The 12210-nt window shown below is 53.9% G+C and overlaps 1 protein-coding gene across 6 annotated transcripts in view, besides 5 other annotated features; it reads right to left on the bottom strand.

Annotated features, from left to right (window-relative positions):
* Window positions 4537-4666: an enhancer, noted in NCBI's record as "active region_12268". NCBI's record gives its function as "activates an Ori minimal core promoter by ATAC-STARR-seq in GM12878 lymphoblastoid cells {active_cell/tissue: GM12878}" and the evidence as "EXISTENCE:reporter gene assay evidence [ECO:0000049][PMID:35858748]".
* Window positions 5177-5426: a silencer, noted in NCBI's record as "silent region_8606". NCBI's record gives its function as "represses an Ori minimal core promoter by ATAC-STARR-seq in GM12878 lymphoblastoid cells {active_cell/tissue: GM12878}" and the evidence as "EXISTENCE:reporter gene assay evidence [ECO:0000049][PMID:35858748]".
* Window positions 5177-5462: a biological region, named in NCBI's record as "ReSE screen-validated silencer GRCh37_chr17:43096740-43096919".
* Window positions 5283-5462: a silencer, noted in NCBI's record as "fragment chr17:43096740-43096919 (GRCh37/hg19 assembly coordinates)". NCBI's record gives its function as "represses an EF-1alpha promoter that drives an FKBP-Casp9 reporter gene in an ReSE screen in K562 erythroleukemia cells {active_cell/tissue: K562}" and the evidence as "EXISTENCE:reporter gene assay evidence [ECO:0000049][PMID:32094911]".
* Window positions 7943-8292: a silencer, noted in NCBI's record as "silent region_8607". NCBI's record gives its function as "represses an Ori minimal core promoter by ATAC-STARR-seq in GM12878 lymphoblastoid cells {active_cell/tissue: GM12878}" and the evidence as "EXISTENCE:reporter gene assay evidence [ECO:0000049][PMID:35858748]".
* Window positions 9249-12210, bottom strand: part of DCAKD (dephospho-CoA kinase domain containing) — a 37794-nt gene continuing 34832 nt past the window's right edge. For 4 of the 6 annotated variants that reach the window (NM_001321326.2, NM_024819.7, NM_001128631.3 and 1 more), the window contains exon 5: window positions 9255-10635. In NM_001321326.2, the coding sequence (NP_001308255.1) occupies window positions 10344-10635 (292 nt within the window). In that variant the 3' untranslated portion in view covers window positions 9255-10343. 6 annotated transcript variants of the gene reach the window in all.

Here is a 12210-nt window from a genome sequence, read left to right on the forward strand (position 1 = left end):
AGAAACCCCATCTCTACTAAAAATAGAAAATTAGCCAGGCGTGGTGGTGCATGCCTGTAATCCCAGCTACTCGGGAAGCTGAGGAAGGAGAATCACTTGAACCTGGGAGGTGGAGGTTCCAGTGAGCCGAAACTGCACCATTGCACTCCAGCCTGGACAACAAGAATGAAACTGTCTCAAAAAATATATATAATATATATATATAATATATATAATATTATATATATTATATACTATATATAATATATAATATATATAATATATACTATATATATTATATATAATATAATACATATTTAATTTGAATTAATTTGAAGTGTTTCTTTTCACATTTTTTTTTTTTTTTTTTAGACAGGGTCTCACTCTGTTGCCTAGAGTGCAGCAGTGCAATCACAGCTCACTGCAGCTTCGACCTCCTAGGCTCAAGTGATCCTCTCAGCTCAGCCTCTCATGTAGCTGAGACTACGGTATGCGCCACCACTCCTGGCTACTTTTTTTGTAGACGTGACATATCCCTATGTTGCCCAGGCTGGTCTTGAACTGATCCTCCTGCCTCAGCCTCCCAAAGTGTTGGGATTACAGGCGTGAACACCGTGCCTGGCCTGTTTTTACTTTTTTAAATGTGACTATTAGAACATTTAACAGTACATTGGCCGGGTGCGGTGCTTCACGCCTGTAATCCCAGCACTTTGGGAGGCCGAGGCAGGCGGATCATGAGGTCAAGAGATGGAGACCATTCTGGCCAACATGGTGAAACCCCGTCTCTACTAAAAGTACAAAAATAAGCAGGGCGTGGCAGTGCTCGCCTGTAGTCCCAGCTACTCAGAAGGCTGAGGCAGGAGAATTGCTTGAACCCAGGAGGCAGAGGTTGCAGTGAGCCGAGATCACACCACTGCACTCCAGCCTGGCGACAGAGCGAGACTCCGTCTCAAAAAAAAAAACCAAAAACAGTACATTGGCCTGGCATGGTGGCTCATGCCTGTAATCCCAGCATTTTGGGAGGCCAAGGTGGGTGGATCACCTGAGGTTGGGAGTTCGAGACCAGCCTGACCAATATGGAGAAACCCCATCTCTATGAAAAATACAAAATTAGCCGGGCATGGTGGCGTATGCCTGTAATCCCAGCTACTCGGGAGGTTGAGGAAGGAGAATTACTTGAACCCAGGAGGCAGAGGTGCGGTGAGTGGAGATTGCGCCATTGCACTCCAGCCTGGGCAACAAGAGCGAAACTCCGTCGTCAACAACAACAACAACAACAACAACAACAACAACAGAACATTTAACAGTACATATATGGGCTGGGTGCAGGGGCTCATTCCTGTAATCTCAACACTTTGGGAGACTGAGGTGGGAGGATCACTTGAGGCCAGGAATTTGAAACCAGTCCGGGCAACATAGTGAGAGCCCCATCTCTACAAAAAATACAAACAAATAAACAAGCAAAAAATCCCCCAAAACTAGCCAGGTGCTCAGGAGGCTAAGGTGAGAGGATTGTTCGAGCCCAGGAGGTTGAGGCTGTAATAAGCTATGATTGTGCCGCTGCACTGCAGCCTGGGCCACAGACGGAGACCTTGTCTCTTAAACAAATTAGTTTAAAAAAATTTTTTTAAGTGTATATGTGGCTTACAGTATATTTCTAGTGGGCAGGGCTCCCCAGATAACAATAGCCCCTCAGCCCTGTCCAGTGTTTTGTATAATCTCTTTTAAAAACTCTGAGACCAGTGGGGTAGGGGCCACCTGCCTCTATTTTACAGACAGGGAAGGTGAGACTCTATGAGGTCAGATGACTTGGTCAAGGTCATATAGCCAGGAAGGGGTGGAGGCCCAGGTTTTCCTGACTCTAGATCTGAGACAATCCAGAGAGATGTCCCTGCTTCCCCATGGGCATTGACCCACACTGGATCACTCACTACACCCAGCCCCTCCTGCAGCCACTGCCCCCTTCCCACACTCCAGGAATCTTCCACTAGAAACAGCCCCCTGACAAATCCCATTAAGACAAATGCCTCTTGGGCCTCTGTTGAAGCCGAAGTCTGATTTGAGTTAGACTCTGGCCTACGATTCCCCGTCAAAGCTGCTGCCTTCACCCTGCAACTAAAGCCATGGCTCCTTTGTACCTGCTGCCACTCACATACATCAGGGTAGAAGAAGCAATGGCCACTGCTCCCTGGGACATGCCCATTTCTCTCCCACCCATACTCCTCCACCTGGGTTCCGCCTTATCTAGCTACTCCTTGAAGATGGGCATATTCAGTGATTCTAGGGGACTGTTTCTTTAATTTCCCCCCCGTCTGTCCCTGGAACGTGATAAAAATACCCAGCATTGATCTTTTTTTCTTCCCTTTCTGCCAGGATAATGTTTACCCAGGTGTCAATCAGGAGAAGAATTTGGCTTCCTAATTTCTCTTCTCCTCCCTGGGGGCCGCACATCTCCCTGCCTCGCATGGACACTGAGCTGGAATCAAGGTTACTAATAATCCCCCAGCACACACAGACACCGAAAGCACATATATTAAAGTCACATATTGATTTATATTTTCGGGTCCCTCTGCCTTTCTGCCCAGCCTCAGCCTTTCTCTTTGCCAAGGAGAAAAAAGAATTACACAGCCATATTTTTCGCCAAGATGTTTAGTGTAAAGAGCATTGTGTCTGAAGGTAATTCCCGCTCTCCCACCCTCTTTGCGGGTATTTTAAAAAAATAGTGTGGCATTGCCTATCCATATGCATTTATCTTTTTGCTGTTCGTTGTTTCAATTTTCCCTGAGGGTACCAAAGAGAGATTTAAGGTAGACTGTCAGAAGGTCTTCCTGGCTTGACAAATGGTGGGCTGCCATCTCCAAAGAGGCTGGTTGTTTCGCCAGCAGAGATAATCCTATTGCAGGTAGGGGTGGAGTGGGTAAGAGTGAGTGTAGAAGGCAGGGCAATGGATTCAGCAGCCTCTAGAGGTCACCCCAGGCTGGGTGTGGTGACTCATGCCTGCAATCCCAGCATTTTGGGAGGTCGAGGCGGGAGCATCACTTGAGGCCAGGAGTTTGAAACCAGCCTGGGCAACATGGTAAGACCCTGTCTCTAAAAAAAAAAAAAAAAGAAAAAAATTAGCCACGCATGGTGGTGCACATCTGTAATCCTAGCTATTCGGGAGAGTCACCTGGGCCTAGAAGTTCAAGGTTACAGTGAGCTATGATGGCTCTGCTGCACTCTCATTTGGGCTAGAGTGAAACCCTGTCTCTAAAAAAATTAAAAAAATAATAAAAGGCCGGGCACAGTGGCTCACACCTGTAATCCCAGCATTTTGGGAGGTCAAGGCGGGCAGATCACGAGGTCAGGAGATCAAGACTATCTTGGCCAACATGGTGAAACCCCGTTTCTACTAAAATACAAAAAATTAGCCGGGCGTGGTGGCGCACACCTGTAGTCCCAGCTATTCTGGAGGCTGAGGCAGGGGAATCGCTTGAACCCAGGAGGCAGAGGTTGCAGTGAGCCGAGATCGCACCACTGCACTCCAGCCTGGTGACAGGGCAAGACTCTGCCTCAAAATAAATACATAAATAAATAAATAATAATAAAAGAGATTACCCACCAGTTCAAATAGCACCTCATAATTACTGGCTGTGGTCCCATTTCACAGATGGGAAAATCAAGGAGTGAGTTTGCTTCCCATTGGCAGGGAACTGAGGCTCTGGATTCCATATCAACCTTGCCTTTCCACCTGGATTCAGGATTTGATGGGAAAATAACTTTCCTCCAGGTGGGGCTGACTCTTGCACTGAGACCCTGGGGGCGGGACAGCTGGGGGGTAGTGCTGGCAGAGGAGGAGCCTCATTCTTTAAAAAGGGCTCTCAAAGCACTAAGCCTGAGGCTCACAGTCTTCCCCTAACCTCTCCTCCCACCCAGAGGCCCTGTCACTCTGGCAGAGCAGACAGTTAAAAATGCCAGGCTAGGCATTTGACTCCAGTTCCCTCAGGGGCTCTTGGGATGGGAGCAGTGTTGAGCATGGGAAAGGAGACTCCCACACAAACTTGGCCCCATCTTCTTCATGCTGGTTGTGAGTTTCCTCCCCTCTCCCATACTTCATTTGCTCCTCACAAATGCTCTGGGAGGTAGAGGGTGTCAGCCGCATTTTACACATGGGAAAATTGAAGTTAAGTACTTGACTAGCAACATGTAGCCAGGAGAAGGCAAAGCCTCAACTACAGCCCAGCTGTCCTGATTCCCCCCTGCCACAAGGCTGGCCTCCTGGTACTCAGCTTGGCAAGGGTCAGGAGCCCTTGGTGACCTTTTTCAGATCCCTCCGGCCTCCTTGCCTGGCTGTGGCCTTGGGATCATGGCTCTCTCATTCTCCACCCCTGGTACTGGAAAAGCGGCTTCTCTTTTGGTTGTGCCCAGATGCACTTGGGCTGGGGGTCAGGACTTTCCCTGATGGAGCTTGACCAGGGTCCTGGGGCCTGTCCAGCCCCTGCCAGAGACTCTGGGGATGCTGGCTGTCTGCTGCTTTCCCTTTGGTATTTTTCAGTGGCTTGGTTGAGTCGCCTCGAACTCACTGTCTCTCATTTCATTCTAGAGCCTGTTTTAACCCCTAGCAGGGTGAGAACTAATATCTGTGGAAAGTCACTGTGTGCCAGCCCTGGGCAGGGTGCTGTCCCTCCATGCTGTTGACCCCACAAGGTGAAGGTTGAGCCCCCATGTTATGGGGGACTCCGAGGCTCAGGGAGCATAAGTAACTTCCCCAAGGTCACCCAGCGGGTAAGGGGAGTTCCTATGACGGGGCCTGGTCTTCCTGACCCCAAGTCCTTGCTTTGAGCTCGCTCCACCCATCTGCTGTCTCCGTCAGACAAGCCAGGTGGGGGCAGGGGCCAGACAGCGCAGGGCGCGGCGGGAATCAGCAACAAGGACCCTCCCGGGGAACTTTTCCCATTGAAAATCTGTTCCCTCGCGGCCACGGGTGATGTCTGGCTGGAGCTGATGAAAAACGTGCAGTGTAATGGAGGAGGGCGGCGAGGGCGGCGAGGGCGGCGCGGGCGGCCCGGGCGGGGGCAGCGTGGCATTGAGATTCTGCGGGGCGCGGGGGGCGGCGAGGGCCCTGACACTGGCCGGGTAATTGATCTGGAGGTGCCAATTTGCAGCAACTAAATATTTGGTTTCTGCCTTTGCCCGCTCCGCGCTCTGCTCAAACAAACTTCAATTAAAAGCGAAAAGCGAGGGGTGGGGAGGCGGCTCACCCGGGTCCCTGCGGCCCGATCGATGGCGCGGAGCCCGCGGGCTGGCGAGCGCGGCGCGCCGGGCGGGGACACGGCGGACGTGGGCCGGGCGGGCGCCCTCTTCCGGATCGCCGAGCACCGGGCGCCCGGCCCGCGGGAGGCAGCGCCCGAGGGTGGGATGGCGGAGGCGGTGCTAGGAGCCCGGGAGCCGCGGCTTTAGCTCAGCTCAGCTGAGCGGAGGGGTGGCCACCGTGTGCCAAGCGGGGGTCACACACAGGGCCAACCCCAACACCTCCACCGCGGAGTGTGAGCCTGTGTACTAGGCTAGAAAACCCGGGGAAGGAGACGTCGCGGGGCGCTGACCCTGTTCTCCCTATGCACCTCTCCAAACAAACTTTGAAGATGACCTTGTTGTTCGGTGCAATCACTCAGGTCTTTCCTGAGCGCCACTGGGTGCTGGGTGCACTGGGCTCCAAAGCCAGTCTCCTCTTCCATGTCTGTCCACCCCTTTACTCTTGGGTTGGCAAAAGAGCTGCCAGTGAATCCATCCCAGGACCCAACCTTGGAGGGGTCTGAAGGGGAGGGCTTGGAATTGGGAGAAGAGTAGTGAGATCCTGGGGGTTTGGAGAGGGGTCCTGGGAGGTGGCCACAGCTTGGAGCAGAGGAGGAGATCATTGGGTCACAGTTGCCTTTTTTGGGGTTCAAGACAAACAGCAACAATAGTCATTCACTGGGTGAAGTTAGCCCACAGGGAAGTTTCTCTTCCTCAAGAATCTTCCAGTCCTTTGAGGGTAGAGGGGAAGGGCTGGGAAGAAGAGCTCACCACTGTGCGACAGGCAGAGCATCTCTGGTCAGCCGGGTAGGGCAGCCTGGGGCACAGGAACAGTTCTGGGAGAGATGTGATGGGAGGAGGTGGGGCTGGCAAAGAGGCATCCAGGTCGGCATAGAAGGCAGAGGTAGATTCAGATCCAAGGAAAGAGGAGGGGAGCTGGGGTCCTTTCATCTGAGTGAAATTTTCTTGAGGGCCAGAGGCAGGAGCTGAGGCAGAGGAGCTAGGAAGGTGAGGGAGGGGGCCCTTGGCCTTTCCCACATTTCTGTGCCCCACCTTCCAGGGTGGAAGACTTACTCCTTCACCAGATGAGGCTGCTGCTAGTTCACTCAGCTGTGGGCTGTGGCCCCTTTCCTTCCCGCTCCCTGTCGACCCCTTCCCCTGTCCTCCTAGGTACCCCGTGGCCCACAGCGGGCTGTTAGAGCACAGGTCTTGCTTGTGTGGACCCTAGCCTCCAGGCCCTCAGATGCCCACTCCTTGGTGCATAGGGCTCTGGGAGAGGGTGGTCCTGCTATCTCGGCTTCTATCCCTTTTGACACTAAGATGCCTCGCTTGCCGGACCCTCAACCACACTCAACTCCCAGCTCTGTCTCTCTTAGTGGCTTGGGGCACCAATCTCCCCATCACACAGAAGTTGGATCCAGAGCTCCGCATGAGGCTGAGGATGAGCCTAGGGCTGGCCTGCCCCTAGGAGCCTCCCCCACCCCCCACCCCTCAGGGGTGGGGGGCTGCAGCACTCCCAGCCTTCTGCCTGAAGCCCGTTCCCAGCCTGTAAGCTGGGCGCCTGCTCCCTTGAATTCCCTCCCTCCCTCTCCCTTCCTGAGCGCTGAGCTGTGGAGCAGAATGATTTCCTGTAATTGGCCAGCAATCCGGCCGCCCGACTTGTTCTATCGACATGCTGGTTAGCTGGAAATTGTATTGGAATCTAAGTGACTGGGAGCGGAGGGGAAGGTGGGGAGCAAAGAGAGGCGGTTTGGGTCCCAGCTGGGTGCAGCCTCAGCTCTGCAGGTGGGATGAGGAACCACCAGCCACGTCTCTCCTGGAAGGAGCAGGAAAGCAACCTATAGCACCACATCACCTCCTTCCTTTTGCTCCTTCTCTCCCACCATGTCCGGGGGTCTCCCTGCCCACTCCTATATGACCCCATGGCCTGAAGTCATCACTGCCATCGCATTCCCCCTCCTGCTCTGAGACTGTTTCCTTCTGACCTAAAGTGCCTTGGTGAGAACTAGGGGCGCTCAGCAGCGCGCCTATCCTGCTCCCATTCAATTTCTAGCCATGGAGGCTCATCATGGAAGGTCCTAAACCTTTCCCTGCCTCTGCCCTGCCCCCCATGAGGAGAGAGAGAGAATGAACATTTGAAGAAGAGTTGTCAATTACTAAAGAGCCAAAGTGTATAATGGGGGCAGTGCAGATAGCCGGAGGAGCACTGTACTGGGAGTCAAGAAGCTTGGTGGTTATACCTGTTGGCTACTTAGGCCCCTTGGCTCAACCTCTGAGCCTCTGTAAAATTCTGGACCTGTCTGCCTCACACAGCTGGGAGATTTCAAGGGGATAACTGGAACGTGCTTTGTAAACTGTGAAACTGCGAATGACCTTCGGGCCAGTCGGGCCTGGGGGTGGGGGTGTTTTAGAGGCCTGCCTGCGCCCTTCGTCCCCCGCCCAGAAGGCGTGTGCGTCTTCACCCTCGCTGGTGTCTTATTGCTCCGCTCCGGGTGCTAAGGCCCAAAGTGAGGGAACGGAACGCGGAGGCTGCAGGGTCCCGTCGCCGTCGCGGTGGGTGGGCAGGGGACACGCCCTTTGGCACCCAGGGCCCGCAGCCCAGGCTCAGAGGACGTGGGCGAACAACGCACCTTTTGAGTTAGCGCTCAGGGTCAGGCAGAGCCTCCGCGCCCACCTGGCCCGTGCTCCCGCGGCAGCTGCTCGGCAGGAGTCTGAGGCCGCCCGCGGCCTGGGAGGAGGAAGATTAGGCCGCTCGGCGAGCGCCCGCCGCGGAGGCCCGGCCCAGCCCGGGAGGGTGCTGCCACCTGCCGGCCGAACGGCAGGCCGCCGGCTCGGGCGCGGGCCTGGGTCCCGGAGGCCCGACCTCTGCAGTTGCTGAGCGGCCTCAACTTCAAGTCCCCTTCGGAGAAAGTAGTCCTTCTTTTAAGGCCGCCTTGGACCCCCAAGGCCGGGAAGGGGATCCTGGGGCAGGGAGGCAAGAGGAGCTGGAGAGGGAGCTCTGGCGAGGCCCGGGCAGGGCAGGGCTGAATTCGAGGTTTCTCCACACCTGCCATGCTCTGACATTCCTGCTTCAAACCCAGCTCACTGGGTCAGGGAAGGTTAATTCTCTGGAACTTTACAGTTTGCTAAGGGTTTTCAGTGTCCTCCACTATGAAGCCTAACGATGTATGAGTAGAAACTAAAGGCAGGAGGTCACATGGCAAGCGGAGCCGGAATGCGAGCCCAAGGCCCAACCCCAGGCTCCAGCTCCTCCTGACAAGAGGCTCAGGGCACAGGAGAGAGTTCAGAAGCCTGGCTCTGCAACCTGGACCAAATCCATCTTTCTGAGCCTGGGATGGAAATAATCAGTGTTATGTTAACTATAGGGTCTTACACATCCAGCAGTGCCTGGCATGCTGCCGATACTAGGAAGTGCCATTTCCTCAATTATTGGGGTGATAGGGCACTGTGGGGGTCCATACCTTCCCTCTCCTTTCTCCGTCCTGGCGGATCGCACCAAACCGAGGAAGTGGCAGGCTCCTGCCACCCTCATCCTGCCTGGCCACCCACCTGGCAGCCCACCACTGCCTTACCCGGCCCTTCTTTGCCCCTTAGGGGTTTGCAGCAAGTTAATGAGCTAGACTCAGCACAAGCGGCTCTGGGAAAGGGGGCACTAAGTATGGCCACCACAGCATTTGCATCCGTCACACTCATTTCTAGCCTTAATAGGCTTCTGGCTGCAGGATCAACACATCAGCAAGTCTGCAGGCCCTGGCAGGGAAGGCTTATGTCTGCGCTGGTCTAATTGGGTTGGGGAAGGCAGATGGGGAGGCGGGGCAAGAAGGTGTGACGCTGCCTCAGCCCTCTACCCACCTCCCACAAAGGTGCCTCGGGCCTGGCTGCAGTCCTCCTGGGACCCAGGGAGAAGCCTGATGGCAAGTGCACCTTCTGGGGCCCTCACCTCCCCCTGAGCTCCGGGAGGACTCCAGCCCAGTGTGGGAAGAAGCCAAGTCTGGGAATCTTGGTTGGTCTGGGGCATTTCAGATCAACACACTTTATTAAACACCAACAGCGGGCCAGGCTCTGCACTAAGAACACAGAGATGAATAAGACACTGTCCCTGTCCCTAGAGGGCTTACAGTCTAGTAGGAAAAACCAGGCAAGTTTCGGCTAATTACTGTACTGTTGGATTAAGGTAAAATGTTGAGGGGGAGTTGGTATCCTAGACCACCTAACCCAGCCTGGGGCTTTAGACAGTGCCTGAACTGAGAGCTAGTTGTAGGTTAAAAAAAAAAAAAAAAAAAAAAAGGAAGAAGAAATAAAAGAAAATAAAAGGTATCCCAGGCCAGGAGCAGCAGGTTGAAGGCACAGAGGCAAGAAACAGCAAGGATGGTGTACACGGAATACCAAGAGGTCCAGGCGAGAAGCAGGGGTGGCAGGCAATAAGCAGGATGTGGGAGCACTACACAAACCCTACGTGGGGAGAGGGGTCTCCCAGAAGAGGCTGGTCCTGCCTGGCTACAGCGTTACCCACGAGAGAATCCTTGCTGCTTGCTGGCAGCAAGCCATACTGGGGGGCCTGGGCCTTCAGTATAAAAAATATCTCAACCTAGGGGAGGGCCTTGTTGACTGTTTGAACATGGAAACCCTTGGTCCAACATGATTTCCCGTGGTCCACTGAGGAGGTTTAGGCCACAATGGGGTAGGTGCTTAGAGAGGATTCAAGCCCAGTGAACCCTTGGCCTCCCAGCTCTGAGGAGGGCCACAGAGCCAGTATTCCCTACCCCCACCCACAGAAATGTATAGCAGTCTCTGACTGTTGCTTTCACACACCATCACGGTTGCTGTTCTGTAGGTGCTGCTCAGGGAAGGTGGGAAGGACAGCAGGCTATTTCTTGATCTCAAATAGGATACACTCCAAAGACGGGATGGCCTGGCACAGAGGCCCAGCCCTGATTCGGAGAGTCCGTGTGTGTGTGTGTGTGTGTGTGTGTGTGTGTGTGTGTGTGTGTGTGTGTGTGGGGAGGGGGCTGAGAGGAAACAGGATGTGTTACCTGGCTTCAGCCTCCAAGGAGATAGATGGAGGCCTGGGGCTCCCTGCCTTGAGTGCCCCACTAGGCGTAAGGCAGAAGGTAGTGGGTGAGCAGGTAGAGGAGGCTGGCAATGGCAGCGAGCCCTGTGAGGACCCCAAACCTCAGCGGCAGGTACTCCAGGGAGCGCTCCAGCTCAGTGTGCAAGAGGATGACCTGGCGTTTGGTGACACTCCACTCGCCCGAGTTGTCTAGGACATGGCGGGCCATGCGGGCCTTGTCTGTCAGGGGCAGCTGGGCATTGATGCGGGCCTCTGCGTCCTTGCGGTTCAGGCTGTTCCGCCGCATCAGCCGTGCCAGCTGTGTGTCCCGGTCGCTAAGGATAGGGCAAAAGGGCACTGTAGGTCCTGCCTCCCTCTCACCCCAAGTTACAGGGATAGGCAGCCCTGCCAGGCCCAGCCTGAAACAGAGAGCATGGGGACTGGATCTTCCCTCCAACCCTACCCTGCTCTGGGCTACTTAGGGTCCCACAGCCAGGGAGGGAGGCTTGGAAGCTCACTGGCTGCCTCACACCCCACTCCACTCACTGTGAGGAACCCAGAGCTCTATGGGCTACGGAAGCCCCTTAATACAAACAAGGGGGGAACTTTGGCCACAGCTCTTTTTTTTTTTTTTTTTTTTGCCATCTGGGGTCTCTTTGCTTTGCTACTAGACCTGACATTCCCCAGTCATAAGGTGGGAAGATTTCATCACCTGGAACCAGCTACATCCTGGATCCCTGGATGGGTGACCTTTACTGAAAGGCCTATGCCTATGAGCTAGACGCTTCCTGCAGTTCCCCTGGGGGCCTGGGTCTTCAGTATCAAAAATACCTCCTTGGGCCATCACAGAGACCCCCTCTCCTTGCTGCTATACCCCTCCCCTGAACATTTAGAGTAAAAGGATTGTGCTAAGATGGTATCTCTTGTGCTTAATGCCACTGATGATGTGGGACAGACAAGCCCAAGGTGCTTCAAAGAGGATCAAGGACATGAGAATTGGTCCCCCTTAGTTGTGGGACAGGATTCAGCACTGCAGATTAGGTCGGACAATATCAAGTCTCCCAACTCCAAGAGAAATTCAAAGAATACCTCCTTCACCCACCCTGAGGTCACCATCTGGGTCCTTCCTCAGGAAACTCCCTCTCTTGCCTTGGGCTACAGTCAGTCCTCTGGAGCGGGGTTACCTCTAACACCCCTCTAGCTCTAAGAGCTACTTCAGCCCCTCAGTGAGGACAAGAGCACAAGGGGTTGCAGCAGCTGTTTTCTACCATTTGGGGTCTTTCTGCCTTGTCACGAGGCCTGAGTTTTCCCAGTTATAAAATGGAAGGGTTTGATCACTACATTTTGGTTCCTTCTTTTTTTTTTTTTTTTTTTTTTTTCCTGAGACAGTCTCACTCTGTCGCCCAGGCTGGAGTGCAGTGGCGTGATCTTGGCTCACTGCAACCTCTATCCTCCAGGTTCAAATGATTCTCCTGCCTCAGCCTCCTGAGTAGCTGGGATTACTGGCATGCGCCACTAAGCTCAGCTAATTTTTGTATTTTTTTTTTTTTTGAGACGGAGTCTCGCTTGCCCAGGCTGGAGTGCAGTGGCACAATCTCTGCTCACTGTAGCCTCTGTCTCTTGGGATCAAGAGGTCTTCCTGCCTCAGCCTCCCAAGTAGCTGGGATTACAGGCGTGCAACACCATGCCCAGCTAATTTTTGTATTTTTAGTAGAGACGGGATTTCACCATGTTGGCCAGGCTGGTCTTGAACTCCTGACCTCAGGTGATCCACCCGCCTTGGCCTCCCAAAGTGCTGGGATTACAGGCATAAGCCACCGCGCCTGGACTTTTTTTTTTTTTTTTTTTCTTTTTTTGAGATGGAGTCTTGCTCTTTCACCTAGGCTGGAGCGCAGTGGTGCGATCTCGGC

Source organism: Homo sapiens, chromosome 17 (assembly GCF_000001405.40).
Source record: "Homo sapiens chromosome 17, GRCh38.p14 Primary Assembly".
NCBI lineage: Eukaryota > Metazoa > Chordata > Mammalia > Primates > Hominidae > Homo > Homo sapiens.